Source organism: Homo sapiens, chromosome 11 (genome assembly GCF_000001405.40).
Source record: "Homo sapiens chromosome 11, GRCh38.p14 Primary Assembly".
Classification (NCBI taxonomy): domain Eukaryota; kingdom Metazoa; phylum Chordata; class Mammalia; order Primates; family Hominidae; genus Homo; species Homo sapiens.
In genome coordinates, this window is record NC_000011.10 from 130,585,882 (window position 1) to 130,603,127 (window position 17,246).

The window sequence follows — 17,246 nt, forward strand, 5'->3', positions numbered from 1 at the left end:
GCAGACCACGTGAGCCAGAGAAATAGGCCCAGATCACTTCTCCTGTAAGAAATTTGGGCAGAATGTGTAAGGAAAGACAGGCAGTGAGGACAAAATGAAAGAATAGCCCTGTGCTGTCTTTCCATGGCCTGTTCTAACTGGTTTTGGGGAGCAGTGTTATCTATTAGTTCTGGCTTGTTCCACCTTCTCTTGCTTCCCTCTCTATCATATCTTCCCATTTTATGAAGTCAAAACCTATATGGCCTTCGCAGCCCAGTTCCTCCTTTACCTCCTCTGGGTAGCCCATCCCTACCTCACATGGCACACACAGTCATTACCCTCTCCCACCCCCGGTGTACCTCGAAAAGCCATAATATAGTTTAGCATATGAAAGATTCTGTGCTGTCCTATGATAGAGACATGTTTTGAACTTTGTTTATCCTAATAGATCCTAAATCAGTTTGATCATGAAATCTGACTTTAAGAATATGTTACACGCTGGCTTAGAGGCTTTCTCACTCGGTGATCCGTGTATGTGTGACTGGCACCCCCTAGTTACATCCTAAGTGAGTCAGTGGTGAAGACATTCTGCTTTCTTTACAATCCTCATAGCACACAGCAAACCCTATGTGTTCCTCACGTTTGAGTCTAATTAAAGGGCAAGAAAAGCAACCAGAAACAAAATGAAAAAGCAAATGGCAAAACTGGAAAAAATTTGTAACATACACAGAGGAATGATACTTTGAACATAGAAAAAACTTCGTGTATTAGTAAGAAAAGCAATGAATGCTGCGGTAGAAATGGGAAAAATCATGAACAGTCAATTCACAAAAGAAACACAAAAAGCTCATACGTATTTAAAGTCTTTAATCTCTCAGCAATAAAAATATAAAATAAAAAATGAAGTAACAACTAAAATGGTAAAAGTAAAAGATTTGGGTTAGCAAGCATATAGGGAAATAAACACTCCTTTCCATTTTTGCCTTTTAAAAAAGTCAGCACATACCTATTTTTTCAAGATAGTACTAAAATGGGAATTGTCTTATCATGAATCATTTATCAAAAATGTGCTATTACTGGCTGCATAATGTTTCATAATATGGAGTATCAAAATTCACTGAGCCACCATTTTATGGCTGGACATTTGGGTAGTTTCCAAGGTCTTGTCTGCTCTTACACTATTAAGATAAAATTTTAATCATAATGTATTAGTTATATACTGCTGTATAACAAATCATTCCCAAGCTAAATAAATATTATGTAACTCAAAACAACAATAGCAATGTAATCTAGTTTCTGTGGGTCAGGAATTTGGACAGGGTACATCTGGGTGGCTTGTCTCTGCTCCCTAATGTCTGGGGCTTGCTTCTTCTGGAAGACTGGAAGTGTGGGGCCTGGAATCACCTGAAGGCTCACTTACAGAATTGACATTGATGTTTAGCTGGGGCTGTCAGCTACAGCCCTTACACATAGCCTCCCCACATGGCCTGGGCTGCCTCACAACATGGCGGTTAGGATCCATGGGCCAGTGAGAAGGGTTTTGCTGCTGTAACAAATTGCCACAAGCTTAGTGGCTTGGGTTGGGGTTGTCTGCTCATGCAGCTTACTCATGCCCTCCCATCCTGCTCAGGCTCAATCTCAGAAATACACCTTCCATTTTATGTTGGCTCATCAGCTTTGTGGCTTATGTCTGATAGAGCACGGCTCACCTCATAATGGGCAGTTCCACGTGTGTGCTTACTTGCTGTCCTGTGGTCAAGCATTCTGTCTCTACCAGGGCTCAATAATATGCCAAGAACTGTTCTCAGATGGCCTTACACCAGAATCACAGAGGCCTATATCGTGATTTTCCACTGGGGCTCATCAAAATCTCCATGCTGCATCTTTCCCCAACATGGACACTACCAGCACCGCAGAGTCTGCCAGATTACATGGCCTGAGTGTCAAGACTTTTGGCACCATGGTCTGGACGTACTGCAGAGAACTTTCCTAATCTGGACCCCTCTCAAGGCTGGCAGCCTCCCATGCCATCCAGTATATGGAGAAGAGCAATCTTTCTAGATGAGGACTGTGTGGCCTAGGAAACCCAAAGAAGCCAGCCAGGCTCTGTGCTTCCATCTTTGTGGCGGTGGATGTAAGATGCAGCAATCTGTCTTTTACTCTGGAGGGCATATCCTAGTATGCCTCTTACTACTGAACCCCTAAAAACTTCATTGAAGTGGCTGATCTCTGAATCTTCCTGGGGTTTATAACCTACCTCTGGAGTGCATGTGTTTTCCCAAAGCCCATTCTTCCCAATCAACATGAGCTTGTGATATAATGGGTCAGTGCCATATTCTGTGAGATATCTAGGCAGTCAGATATCTTTGGATTTTATTGTGACAGGGAGAGGGAGAGTTCATATAGCCTCATGGAAAATCTGTGAAGGAATATCATTTTCTGGCTCACACAAATGCAAACTGTTTCTAATTCTATTTATTTTTTAATTCTTTTTTTTTAAGAGATGAAGTCTCACTCTGTTGCCTCAGTTGGAGTGCAGTGGCTAGTCACAGGTGCAATCATGGCTCACTGCAACCTTGAACTCCTGGGCTCAAGCAATCCTCCCTCCTCAGTCTCCCAAGTAGCTGGGACTACAGGTGCACGCTGCCATCCCCAGCTGATTCTCTCTTTTTAATTGGAATGGAAAAAATACATTTGCAAAATCAGTGGTCACATACTCTGATACCTTATTCATCTACTCTAGCAATAAAATCTTTTTGGATACATTAGCTACAATGGGAGTTCCTACTTGCTTAGGCCTGTGGTTGTGTACAGTCATTCTCCGTGGTTCATTGGCTTCTGCAGGGGCCAGACTGGTAGATTAACAGGAGATATCATAGGGATTACAGGTCCAGCATTTTATTGTTAATGGTAACACTTGCCATGCCATCCCCCCCAGGGATGTGACACTGGCTGAGGGAGTTGGGGTAACAATTCAGAAATTACCAATTAAGGTTTCCTACTATGATAGCTCCTATCCCATAATCCAGGGACCCATCAGGGTTACTCCAGCTGGCAAGCAGGACAATTCCAATAATATGCTTGGGGATAGTGTGCATCTGTGGACCCTGTACGCCCACCATGAGCTGTACTGTAGGTAGACCTGTCGTGAGCCAGGACCATACTTATTACCTGGCTTCAGAGGTCTTAGTTCTAACAGAGGGGCTGTATTAGTCTGTTCTCTCATTGCTATAAAGAACTACTGGAGACTGGGTAATTTATAAAGAAAAGAGGTTTAATTGACTCAGTTTGGCAGGCTGTACAGGAAGCATGGCTGAGGAGGCCTCAGGAAACTTACAATCATGACGAAGATGAGAGGAAGGAGTCACACCTTACACGGCCAGAGAAGAAGGAAGAAAGTGAAGGTTGCGGGGGCAGTGTTACATACTTTCAAACAACTAGATCTCATGAGAACTCACTCATTATCATGAAAACAGCAAGGGGGAAATCTACCCCCCATAGTCCAATCACCTCTCACCAGGCTCCTTCTCCAACACTGAGAATTACAATTTAACATGAGATTTGGGGAGTGGCACAAATCCAAACTATATCATGGACCATTCCCATGCTGTGGGTCTCTGGGTGTCAATGTCAACTTAGAGCCTACATTCACTTGTCCTGGAAAATTCTGGTTATTCCCTTTCCCTGATATACAGTCACATGAGAAGATGGCTGTAGGACCCTCTGGGAATCACATGGTATCTATCATGAGATATTTGCCATGATGGGCAAGGTGTTTCCTCTTACTAATCTAGTAATGTCTCCAGTCAATGGGTATCAGTCAGGTCTGAGAAATGAGCAAGAGATAATATTTTGATTGGGATAAACTTCTTCTGCCTTCAGCTTCCTCCTCCTCCAATTTTGCCTTTTTTGGATTATAAATATTAGGCAGTACTCTTAAAAATTTCTTTGATTTGTCCAAATTTATGGGGTACATGAGAAATTTTGTTACATGTATATAATGTATAGTGGACAAGTCAGAGTATTTAGGGCATTCATCACCCAAGGACAGTACACTTTTGTTAACCCTAGACACCTTTCTTTGCTAGTACACATTGAATTTATTTCTTCTATTTTACTGTGTGTTTGTATCCTTTAACCCACTTCTCCTCATCCTCCTCCCTCCTCCCACTCACCTTCCCCAGTCTTTGTTATCTGTCCATGCTGTACCTCTGTGTGATTAAAGTTTTTAGCTTCCATATATAAGTGAGAACACGTGATACTTGTTTTTTTGTGCCTGGCTTATTTCATTTAAGATAATGACTTTCAGGTCTGTCCATGTTGCTGCAAACAACATGATTTCATTCTTTTAAAATGACTGAATAGTATTCCATTGTGTGTATATACCACATTTTCTTTATCCAGTCATCTGTTGATGGACACGAGGTCAATTCTATATCTTTCCTATTGTGAATATTGGTGCAATAAACAATAGAGTGCAAGTATCCATTTGATATATTATTTTCCTTTGGATAAATAGTAGTGAAATTCCTGGATCATATGGTTCTATTTTTAGTTTTTTTGAGAAATCTCCATACTATTTTTCATAGTGACTATACTAGTTTACATTCCCACCAACGGTGTGTAAGAGTTCCCTTTTCTCCTCATCTTTGCCAACATCTGTTACTTTTTGTCTTTTTAATAATAGCCATTCTGACTGGGGTAAGATGCTGTCTCATTATGGTTGTGATTTGCATTTCTCTGATGGTTAGTGATGTTGAACATTTTTAAATATACCTGTTGGCCATTTGTATGTCATCTTTTGAGAAATGTCTATTCATGTCCTTTGCCTACTTTTTAATGAGATTATTGTTTTTGTTTTTTTTTCCTGTTGAGTTGTTTGAGTTCCTTGTATATTCAGGATATTAGTTACATGTCAAATGAATAGTTTGCAAATATTTTCTCCTATTCAACAGGTTGTCTCTTCACTTTGTTGACTATTTATTTTGCTGTGCAGAGCTTTTTAGTTTAATTAAGTCCCATTTGTCTATTTTTGTTTTTATTGCCTGTGCTTTTGAAGTCTCAGTCATACATTCTTTACCTAGACCGATGTCCAGGAGAGTTTTCCCTAAGTTTTTTTCTAATACTTTTATAGTTTTAGGTCTTCTGTGTAAGTCTTTAATCCATTTTGAGTTGATTTTTGTATATGGTGAGAGATACAGGTCCAGTTTCATTTTTCTGCATGTGGCTATCCAAATTTCCCAGCACTGGCTGGGTGGGTGGCTTACACCTGTAATCCCAGAACTTTGGGAGGCAGAGGCAGGTGGATCACTTGAGGTCAGGAGTTCAAGAACAGCCTGGCCAACCTGGTGAAACCCCATCTCTACTAAAAATACAAAAATTAGCTGGGCTTGGTGAGGCGGGCCTGTAGTCTCTGCTACTCAGGAGGCTGAGGTGGGAGACTTGCTTGAACCCAGGAGGTGGAAGTTGCGGTGAGCTGAGATTATACCACTGTGCTCCAGCCTGAGTGACGGAGTGAGACTCCATCTCAAAACAAATAAATAAAAATAAAAAAACAAAACAAATTTCCCAGCACCATTTTTTAAAGAGAGTGTCCTTTCTCTGATGTAAATTCTTCTCAGCTTTGTTGAAGATCAGTTGGCTGTGAATATCAGTTGGCTTTATTACTGGGTCTCTGTTCTGTTCCATTGATCTATGTGTCTATTTTATAGCAATATCATGTTGTTTTGGTTACTATAGCCTTGTCATATTTTTGAAGCCAGGTAATGTGATGCCACCAGCTTTGTTCTTTTTGCTCAGGATTGCTTTGACTATTTGAGATTTCTTTTGGTTCTGTAGTAATTTTAGGAATTTTTTTCTAATTTTGTGAAGAACGACCTTCATATTTTGATAGAGTTTGCATTGAATCTGTAGAGTTCTTTGGGCAATATGGCCATTTTAACTATATTAATTCTTCTGAACTACGAGCATGGGATTTTTTTTTTAATAATCAATTTGTTTAATCAGTGTTTTTAAGTTTTCCTTGTAGAAATCTTTCACTTCCTTGGTTAAATTTATTCCTAGGCATTTAATATATTTTTGTAGTTATTGTAAATGGGATTGTCTTCTTGATTTCTTTCTTGGCTAGATCCTTATTGGTGTATAGAAACACTACTGTGTTTTGTATGTTGACTTTGTATGCTGCAACTTTACTGAATTTATTTATCAAATCTAAGAGGTTTTTTTTTTGGTGTGGTCTTTAGGTTTAGCTAGATAAAGGATCATAATATCAGCAAAGAGGGGCAATAAGACTTCCCCTTTTCCAGTTTGGATGTCTAAGCAGCACTCTGGTTGCCTCTATTTCTCTGGAGCCCTTTCATTCTGGTGGATATTAACAAGCCCAGCTTTGTTCCTGTCTTTCCTACCATGAGTCATGCAGGGGAAAGCCACCATGAAGGTTGCCAGATAAAATGCAAGATGCCCGTTCAACTTTGAATTGCAGATAAACAACGGCATTTTCAAAAGTGTAATTCAAAATCTTCATAGAATATACTTATACAAACAATATTGTTTATCTGAAATTCAAAGTTAACTGGAATCCTGTATTTTTATTTGCTAAATCTGGCAACTGTCATCCCCATCAACATTCTTTGGATCAGTGGCCCAGGTAAAGGGTGGGTCTTTGGGGCACTCCTATGGAACACAGTCCTCTGGTGGGTCTTCCAGCCTTACATAATCCATCTGCCCCAGCAGGACCACTTCTCTCAGCCTCTTCATGCCTTCCTCTACTGCCTGCCAGGGCAGCTTGGACTTGTCCAACTTGATGAGTGACCACGATTTTTCCAGGGTTTTAAAAGCCATCCCAGCAGCTGTTTGTGCCATCACCTGAGGTTTTTCCAACAGTGTTAAATCCATTGATCAGAGAATGTCCTGAAGTCAATTAACATTTGCTTACTAAGTCTTTCATTCTGGCCATCAAGTGCCTTCAGAATGCAATCCCAGGAGCACTCCTTGCTCCTGCTGGCACATGGAGGCTAATGTTTGCAAATCTTTCAGTGTACAGTTTCTTTCCTCCCCTAGTAGGTACAGTGTGTGCCCAGCTAAGTTATCCTTGGATTTACTGGACTATGCTCTAAGTTTTGGCCAAGCAACCAGGAAAGGCAATAGGGTCAGCTTCTGAGGGGGCACCTGTTGCCTCGTTGGGGAGATGCCCCTGCAGCATCTTCCATCACCAAAGTGCTAGCTCTTCCTAGTAAGGGGTGAGCCATCTCTGCAAGCCCAGAGGGTCTGTGGAGGAGGGGATGCTTACAGCATTAACATCTTCCATCAGGAAGTTCCTGTACCACATTCAGAGACCAGGTTTTGTCCACCAGGGCTCTGACTTTTGCATAAGAAATCCATATTCGCTAAGTACTTAACTGTTTCTGGAGCTCCGTGACTCAGAGTTAGACATTTGGCCTTCCATTAAGCTGTGTCTGTTCATCCACTGCCAGAGACAAGGGCCTCACCAACAGCTCCCAAAGAGGCCCTGTGGCTCTCACACAGCCACTATTGGTTAATGGCCCTCAGTCTTTATCATTCTTTATAATTTATAAATTTATAAAGGGCCTCTATATAATTTAGCAATAATTAGCCAACTCTGTTGTCTTTATAGGTATTGATCTTTCCATATTTTAAAAATCCTACGGCATTCCCCCCAGCTGCAACATTTCCTATGGTACCACTGGTGAAATCTTTAGGAATTTGAGCCACCACCTTGTACCAGAGACTATCTGAGCTTCATCTGCCAACAAGGATGGCTGGATGAGCCAGCTCAAATCTTAAATCCCTATATAACCTCCTCTTTTTTCTTGGACCACTCCTGGACCACTTGTGCTAGCAGTCCTCTCTGAGAAGCAGAAGCCAAGATGGGGTTAGAGAAAATGAGGAAGGAGGTAGGAAGGGCTGGGAGAGCTATCAGCCTGTACTATAGGTCTATCCCCCACTGAAGGTGAGAGGAAAGGAAGGAAGTTTGGGTAGAAGGCTCCTAGTCTACATTAAAGTTCGAAGAATGCCCCACAGGCTGCAGGGTAGTGTTCAAGCCAAAGTAGCTTATCAAGGTGCCCCAAGTCTTCTGGGTACAGGACTACTTAGGATCCTGGTATGCTTGGTCCTTAGCCTGGAACAGCTGTGGGAAGTGTGCGTGGCCTGAGTGCAGAGTGCAGTAGTTGGGGTTGTCAGTCTTGCACAGCTGGAGACATGGGATGTCCATTTCCATGGTTTCCAGAGAAATCACGCCTTTGAGATTCCTAGAATATGTTTTGTCCAGATCAGAGCCTCTACTAGCACCACCTTAATTCTCCCAGAGGCCCTAACAGAAGGGTACACCCTTAACTTGGTCTTCCTCCTGGGGTCCACATGCTTTATTGGCAACTCCCTGTATTTGGTCTGTGCTATAATTTAATTTGGTCTAGGCTATATTTGAGAATTTTTACTGGGTGAAGAGACTGAAGATAAGAATTGTTTTATTTGTATTTCTTCTGAATTCTGTGTTCAGATTGATCAGTTCTTTCCTAAGTTTCTCTCTCTCTCTCTTTTTTTATGCTGGCATATCTAGCTGAAAGAAGTCAACTCAGGTTTTCAACACTCTGTCCAAGTTTACAAGTTCATTAGATACATCTTCCAAGTTACTGCTGGGTATAATTTTACCAAATATTTCACCACCACATAACACAAGGTGATATTTTTTTTCCTGACCTCTATAATAATTTCCTTGGCCTTTTCTTTAGCTTCTACCTACTGTCCTGTTTCAAAGCCCAATGCCATGTAGTTGAGCTTTCTATCGTAGCAAAACCTAATTTCCCTGTAAGTACTATCAATTTCTGAGTTATTTAATTATTGTTTTAGTAATAGTGCATAACAGATAATCACAAGATCTGATAAAATGCAAACCATGTATTTAACTCATGCCTTCCTGGGGTTAGCAGTTTCAGGCAGTACCCAGCGAAGGTACCTCTGCTCCTGGTGTGTCTCATTTTTCTCATGGGACCAGCAGGACAGCTTGATGGTACTTTTCAAGAAGATGAGAGAAGGCGAATCCCATAAGTGTGTCCTAAGCCTTTGGTCACTTTGTATTTGGTAACATTCCATTGGTGAAAACAAGTCATGTGGCCAAGCTGAAAGCCATTGTGTTACAATTGCCTGTAGCAATTACCATTACCAATGGTAATTGTAACATTACTGTGTCATAATTGCTTACAATATTCAGTACAGTAACATGCTGTACAGGTTTGTAGCCTAGGAGCAACAGGCTATACCATCTAGCCTATAGGTCTGCAGTAGGCTGTACCATATAGTTTTGTTTTAATATACCTCTTGGTGTTAGCACAACGATGAAATTCCTAATTATAGAGTTCTCAGGACGTATCCCTGTCATTAGGTGACACATGACTGTTCATATGTCTGAACAATACTCTCTTCACCCTTACTACCTATCATGGTTACTTCTTAGTTACTATCATGGTTGCAAACTGTGTTTTCATTTTACGGTGTGGAGGTCAATTATATTTTCAAATATTTTTGAAGTAGAAGAAATTAAAATTTTCTGGAAACCAGAGGCTAATTTTTGAAAACACTTGTGAGGTTACTTTCAACTACTGTTTAAGTCTCTATTAATTGTCTAATATTGTAGGTAAAGAGACAGTCTGCACTTTATATGCCTTGAGAAGCATGTGTTCCTATTGAAGATCTACACATATTACCTTAGGACTGCAGACGAATCCCTCTAAAACCCTCGAACTCTATGCAGTCTTTGGCCCCAGGAACAGGTAGACAAGAGCTTGCTTTCTTGTATACAGTTGCTCTTTCCTTTTTAACATTATCACTTATGGACCACAGACCTGCCTGGCTGTGCCAAGTGCTGTGTTCAGTGCTTTAAATGCAGTACCGTATCGAATCTTCGTCACGACGCTATGAGACTGGCATTGTTATTACCATAGTCATAATCCCTTCTGGATGTAGAAGAATATGTCCCACATCTCACAGGAAAGTCAAAGAGATTAGAATTTAGGCCTATCTGACTCTAAAGGCAGTACTCCTATCCTTAGCAATACTGCCTTTTTGGTTGAATTCTGCCTCTATTTACTCTTCCATTAAAACAGAGATGTCCCTACTGCCCAAGAAGTCCATTATGATCCAATGGAATCAAAGAAACTGCTAATTCACAAGAATCTGACTGTAGATGACTCTCAGGAGGAGTGAAAAGCATTGGGATGTTTTGCTTTAGCCTAACATTGCATCTCCGTTAGGAAGTATAGCAGCCTGCTGAGGCTTGGTTACTAAGCTTACCAAGAGTACTCGCTTCCATGACTCTGTGTTGACGAAGCACCAGTGACAATGGAAAGGGAGAGAGCTTCCCTGGCCAGATGCCCCTTTTCCTCTTGGCCCTTCCAGTAAATGCTGCTCAAGGAGGCTCCGCATTGCAAGATGGGCAAGGGGTCACATGAGGAGGGGTGGTGAGTGATTTATTTTCCAGTTAATTAAAGGCCAAGGGAGTCCCTTCTGAAGTTTTATTTGGGGTCTCAGGCCATCTGTATATAGCAACCCAAGGAGAAAACCCCCAGCCACCCTGCCGGGGCAATTAGTTCTACATTTTCTTCCTCTCTGCTCCATAATCCCTACCTCACTCAGGCTGTGTCAACTGCCCAGCTTGCAGTCAACTTTCTAGCTCCATCTCTGAGGGATTTGTCCTCATTTCTGGGTTGGAAGCTTCTCACCTTCAAATTACACAGTTTCTTGAGAAGAAAGTGATAATGGATGTGACAGTGCTAGAAGATAGATAGATAGATAGATAGAGAGATAGATAGATAGATGGATAGATAGATAGATGGATAGATGGATAGATAGATGGATAGATAGATAGATGGATAGATAGATAGATGGATAGATGGATAGATAGATAGATAGATGGATAGATGGATGGATAGATGGATAGATAGATCGATAGATGGATAGATAGATGGATAGATAGATAGACAGACAGATAGACAGACAGACAGACGGATGGATGGATGGATAGATAGATAGATAGATAGATAGATAGATAGATGGATAGATAGATAGATGGATAGATAGACAGACAGACAGACAGATAGACAGATAGATAGATGGATAGATAGATAGATAGATACATAGATAGATGGATAGATAGATGGATAGATAGACGGATAGATAGATAGAAGGATGGATAGATAGATGGATAGATAGATAGATGGATAGATAGATGGATAGATAGATAGATGGATAGATAGATAGATAGATGGATAGATAGATAGATAGATGGATAGATAGATAAATAGATAGGAGACACCACCACCACCACCAACAACAACAGAGCACTGTCCGTCCTCATGGCCCATGCCCAGTGGGCATTTATCAGAAGTAAAGACAGGTGGATTGGCCAGAAAAAGTAGAGGTGTTTGCAAGTAAGGGGGTAAGGAATGGAAATTTCTAATTTAGAAGTAGCCCTTCTACTAAGGGCCAGATTAATTAGGAACGATGGGGAATCTGAAATCAAGATCTCTGAGAGTCTATATCCACACCAAGCTGAGCTCCTTGCAACTTCTGATCCTGAAGCCTGGGGAGTGTAATGGATAAAAGGCTACCTAGATCAACCCTCACCTGCTCCCACCTTCTCTCTCTGTCTGATGCTTGTTGGCCTTTGACAACACAATTTGCCTTCTACCCTCTGGCTGCACACACTCAGTGATGGTGAACTCACTCTATTCTGAGATGTAGATTTCCCTCCTTGGGCAGGTCTGCCAACATGTCCTTCCGTGCACCATGTTACCATCACCACTTTCCCTGATCCACTATGCTCCAGAATAAATAAGAGTTAGAGAATTGGGAGTAGGGTTTGCAGGTCAAGAATGTGTGCCTGGTGAATGAGGAAGAAAAGATTTGTGGCATTTCCTTGCGCAGAAGGAACAGAGGGAGGCAAGGGATGGTAGAAAGCCATCAGGTAGGAGACACTCAGATGCCTGCTGCTGGTGGTGTGCGCTGCGTCTCCTGGGACTGATGAGTGAGACACGTTCATCCAACTACCCTTTGAAGACGTGGCAAGCCCTCAGCAAGAGGTTAAGCTTCCCCCATGAGGATTTCCCAGGTCTTGCTTTGGCTCCAGAACAGTTATTTCCAATGCTCAGAAGCTCAGAAAGTGACCAGGAGAAAAGAGGTAGAGCATTGTGGAGAAAGAGAGAGAGGAGGTGGGAGGGAGTGTGTGTGGGAGACAGAGAGGAGGAGGAAGAGGCACTGAGAAACTGAATGTATCATAGAAGAGAGGGAGCAGCAGGGAGTATGCACAGAGAGGAAGAAAAATGGAGAGCTGAGAGAGTAGGGGAAGGGAGAGTGGGGACATGCCAGGGAGGGCTGGAGCAAGCAGCAGGCTCTGTAAGGTATGGCTGCTCTGGGCTCTGGGGTCCCACATTGCTTCTGCTACTGGGCCACCAGACTGGGAAACTTGGTGGGGGTCGGGGTTAGAGGGGTGGTTGGACGAGGAGGGCTGTGGGAATTCCCAGTCTGCACTGACAGGATCCGGAGGCCCAGCCCTGAAAGCCCCAGGAGCCCCGATGGCTCCAGGAAGATGGGTGCTGGGTGGATTGGACCTGGACAGAGCCACTGAGGGCTGCAATTTGGCAGTCGCCCTGGCTTTATTGGCAGCAAGTCTGACGGGAGCTGAAGGCCTCCCTGCTGGGCCCTGCGGCTGCCACGTGCCCGCCTCTCGGACGCCTTGCGAGGCTGGTCCCCTAGGGCGCCCGGGGGTGGACGGGAGAGCGGCGCGCATGCGCAGGATGCGCTTGGGCGAGGAGTGGGGAGATCCCAGGCAAGACTGACACGGATGGGGCATGCAGGCGACAGGCCGGGGTCCACCTAGGCCTGGGAGTGGTCGTGCTTTCTGTTCTGTTTTTCAATTTTAATCAATGGGCTGGGCGCGGTGGCTCACGCATGTAATCCAGCACTTTGGGAGGCTGAGGAGGGCGGATCGTTTGAACCCAGAAGTTGGAGACCAGCCTGGGCAATATGGAGAGACTCCGTCCCTCCTAAAAATAAAATAAATTATCCGGAGTGGTGGCGTGTGCCTGTGGTCCCAGCTACTCGGGAGGCTGAGGCAGGAGGATGGCTCGAACCCAGCAGTCAGAGGCTGCAGTGAACCACGACTGCACCAGTGTGCTCCAGCCAGGCCACCTTCTGAGACCTTGTCTCAGAAAAAATATTAAATTTTCATCAGTAAAACTTGTCTGGGAAAACCTTTCCTAAAGCCTGTAAAGCTTTACATTACTATCCCCGTCCTCACCAGGAGCCAACAAGGAATGTGTCGCTGCATTACAGAAGGGGAGCCCATGCAGGAGCAGCTCAAAGACTGCCCATGAGACTCCAGAGCTGGCGCTCTGCCCACTGTGGTGTAATAGCAGCTACTCTCTTGAAGGCTTAGGGCCAGCTAGTCCCAGGCCTTTGATGGCTGGGGCCAAAGGGGTGGGCAGGACTTGGCTTTTCACTTCCTTTAAAAGTCTGTCCACATTACCTGTGGGGCATCATGGAATAAAGGAAGAAAAGCATCCACCCTCTTTGTTTTCCCCTCCCTGGAGTGAAGCCGCCACCTGCTAAGTACAAGCCCACAATGAAACATGTCACTCCTGCTGGGGCTTACCTACCCAGGAAGCACACCCTGGGTCCATTTAAAAACACTGGAGATGGCCTGCTGTCCTGAGATGCACAGGGAAATGGGAGACACAACCAGACACCAATAACACACTGCAAGAGTGTGATGGCAAGTGTCCTCAGACCATCCTCTGGCCAGTACAGCCAGAGCTCAGTCAGAAACCAAGAAACTGCCCGGGTAGGAGCTGAGTTTAACCCTGCAAGTCTTAATTTTGTGCAAGGACTGTACAATGAGCTGTAACGGGTAGACACTGAGCAAGGCAGTTCAGCTTGTCTGATAGGACAGAAGCAGTACATATGGAACTACAGTATCTGGAGGGATAAGTATCTGGAAGTGGCAAGAAATGAACAGACTGGTGCTGTGGGGATGGGAGGAGGGAAACAGTCACCTTGGGCTGGAGAGTGAGCAATCAGGAAGGGCTTCACCGAAGAGGTGACCATCAACGTGCTATTTTGCATATAGATGGAGCTTTAGTTTACAACACTTTTGCATACATTATTTTGAGACACAGTGTTATGGTAGCAAATGTTGGCAAGGGCGAGAAAAAGTGCTAATCCACTGCTAGTGTTGAGAGTATAAATGAATTAAACTAATGTGGGAAGCAGTTTGACACTCATAATTCAAAATTCTAGGAATTTATGCTACGAACATACTGATACATACGGGCAGATATACAAGGACAAGATACCCACTATAACAAAGTTATTAGCAGCAAAAGACTGAAAACAACATAAGTGTTCATCAGTAGGCATCAGTTAAAGAATTACAAGTTATCCAAGCAATGGAAACTGTGCAGCCACTACAAAGAATACGGTAACTATGCGTTGCTATGAAATGGAATCTCCAAGATACCATGTTGAGTAAAAAATAAAACAAGGCAAAGAATGATGTGTATGGCTAACTTTCTTTTGAGTGACAATTGGCTGTGTATGTTTTTATATTTGAACAGAAAATTTTCAGAAGGTGTATTAATCTGTTCTCACACTGCTATAAAGAAATACCTGAGACTAAGAAATTTGTAAAGAAAAGAGGTTAAATTGGCTCATGGTTCTGCAGGCTGTACAGGAAGCATAGCAGCTTCTGCTTCTGGGGAGGCCTCAGGAAACTTACAGACATGGTGGAAGGCGAAAGAGAAGCAGGCAGGTCTTACATGGCCAGAGCAGGAGGAAGGGGGCAGGGGAAAGTGCCACACATTTTAAAAACAACCAGATCTCCTGAGAACTATCACGAGAAAGGATGGTGCTAAACCGTTCATGAGAAGCCACCCCTGTGATCCAGTTACCTGCCATCAGGTCCCACCTCTAACACTGGGGATTACAATTTGACATCGGATTTGGGCAGGGACACAGATGCAAACCATATCAGAAGGATACATGAGAACCTGCTCACAGTGGTTGCTGCAGGAGAAGTAGATTGAGGGCTTGGAGTGGGAGGCAAACTGTTAAAACGTTTTACATAATTGTGAAATGTATCATATATCTAGAAGAGTGTATAAAACATATGTACCATCTGAAAAGTAATTATAAGCCATACCAGACAATGTATATAGTATAATAAATTCTTGTACTCTGAATTTTATAGTCCGCATATAGTAATTTGTTACTTTTCCTACTGAAAAGAGTCTCTGTGAGGTAGACAAGGACATTCCTTCCTCTCCCATTTCCTAAGTGGACGGTAGGGCCGAGAGCTCAGTGGGAGGGCCTGTGGGGTATCCAGGGACAACAGCGGGTGACTGCAGCATGAAATCAGAGAGGAGGAGGGGCAGGAGATGGGAAAGCCGGGCTCCCTGCCGAGCACAGGATGGCCAGGCTCAGCCTGGAGTTTGTTTGTTAGTTTCAGAGGACGTGTTAAATGTTTTGGGGAGTGACGTGATCAAAGTCTTACAAAGAGGAAGTGAAATCAAATGCTGTGATGGTCAGCAAGGCCATAGCCAAGCAGACTAGCCTGGGGGTTGGAGAGGGGGAGAGAGGCTTGTCTTCCTTTCTGCTCTGCTCATCGTGGAGAATAATGAGAATGGGGCTCACTGATGGGCACTCACGTGCTGTGACCATGTTGATGGCATTGTGTCCGTCAATTCTCACGATGACACTGACTCACAGATGTTACATCCCCATTTTCCAGGCGAGGAAGTAGAATCTGAGTGAGAGCAACCAGCTAAAGGCCATGTAGCTGGAACGCGGCGCAGATGGGGTGTGCCTCCATAGCAGCCGTTTGTAAAGCCAGTGCTCTTGCTGGGAATCTGCGCGTCTCCCCACAATTGTTGGCTGTCGGGAGGACTTTCCCACATGCATCTTGCTTTGGGGCTTGATGTTTCTCCCACCATCCTGTGACGTTGGCCATGCCACTGCGACAAATGTGCAGTGGATGCCAAGGTACGCAGCGTGACATTGGGAGGCACTTGGCTCCTCTCGCTGCGGTCACCTGTCTCCCATCAATCATGGAGGCCTTCGGTGTGCACGAGAGTAACGCAGGGCAGTGGGCCACAATTTGAGAGGGAAGTCTCCCTGAGCTCAGCCTCTGGGGAAGGAAACTGCCCGTGTGCTTGCTCTGCTGCTCTGGGAATGGTGCTGGGCAGGCCCCTGTGCTCATCGCCTGGCTTTGCTGGGTATTCATACACAGCAGGCAGCTTCTGAGGAGAAGAAGGGGTTAATGGCCTTGCTCAGGCTCCTGCCCCCACACCCCAGAAACACACCAGTTATATTTTTCAATCTTGCACACCCCATAAATGAGCACCATTTCCTGGTGTCTGACACGATGGAGTGACTCTATGGGAAGATTTGGCCAGGATCCTGCAAAACTAAAGAAATACCAGAATCTGCAATATGGCCTGGCTCTGACCTGACCCCTGGGCCTGCCCTCTTCTGTAAACAGGCATGAGGGGTGCTGGAGGGTGCTAGAGTCAGTGCAGAGGGTGAGGAGCGTGGCTGCTTCTAGGGTTCTGGTCTAGTCATGTACTGGCCACAATGACAGTTGGGTTTGCACAGGGGGCGTTGTTTGTTACGGTGAATCCGCAGGTTAAAATTGAGGCCTGCTGTGTTGCCTTCCCTTTCTGGGAATTTGGTGGGAAGCACCAATGTAATAATCCTGATTTATATTTCTAGCCAAACCCCAAACCCAGCTCCAGTCCTTGACAAAAGTAATTCTCCTTTGGACAGTAACGTGCAGGAACCATGCCAGTTTAGCCTATTCTGTACATTCTTCCCCTTGACAGGCCAGAGCTCAATGAATATTTCACCTTCACAGTCTTGGCCACAGTCGGGGGTTTGCGAAGCTGTCTAAATCTGGTTTATCAGCAGGAATAAATGCCCTCAGACTTAAAAAGTGGGAAGCAGAACTTGGCTCTGTTGGGCTGGTGATTTACGAAGGAACACCGAGCTGGGAGTGGAGGAGCAGTGAGGGGAGGGAGGGCAAGCAGGAGTCTGTGGGATTCCACTCACAACCTATAAAAGCAGCAACATGTACTCTAAAGAGAGATCATATTCCAAGATACATTTCCTCCCATGAAGGATAAGGCATCTGGCATCCATCACTTGTCAGGGACAGAGGAACTGGAGGGACCCTGGCTGCCTTTGGGGTACGTGGCAGGTGTGGG

The 17,246-nt window shown here is 44.1% G+C and overlaps 1 annotated feature.

Annotated features, from left to right (window-relative positions):
• Nucleotides 15,194–15,879: an enhancer, noted in NCBI's record as "NANOG-H3K4me1 hESC enhancer chr11:130470970-130471655 (GRCh37/hg19 assembly coordinates)". NCBI's record gives its function as "activates a minimal SCP1, AML or CMV promoter by ChIP-STARR-seq in naive H9 embryonic stem cells {active_cell/tissue: H9 hESC(naive)}" and the evidence as "EXISTENCE:reporter gene assay evidence [ECO:0000049][PMID:30033119]".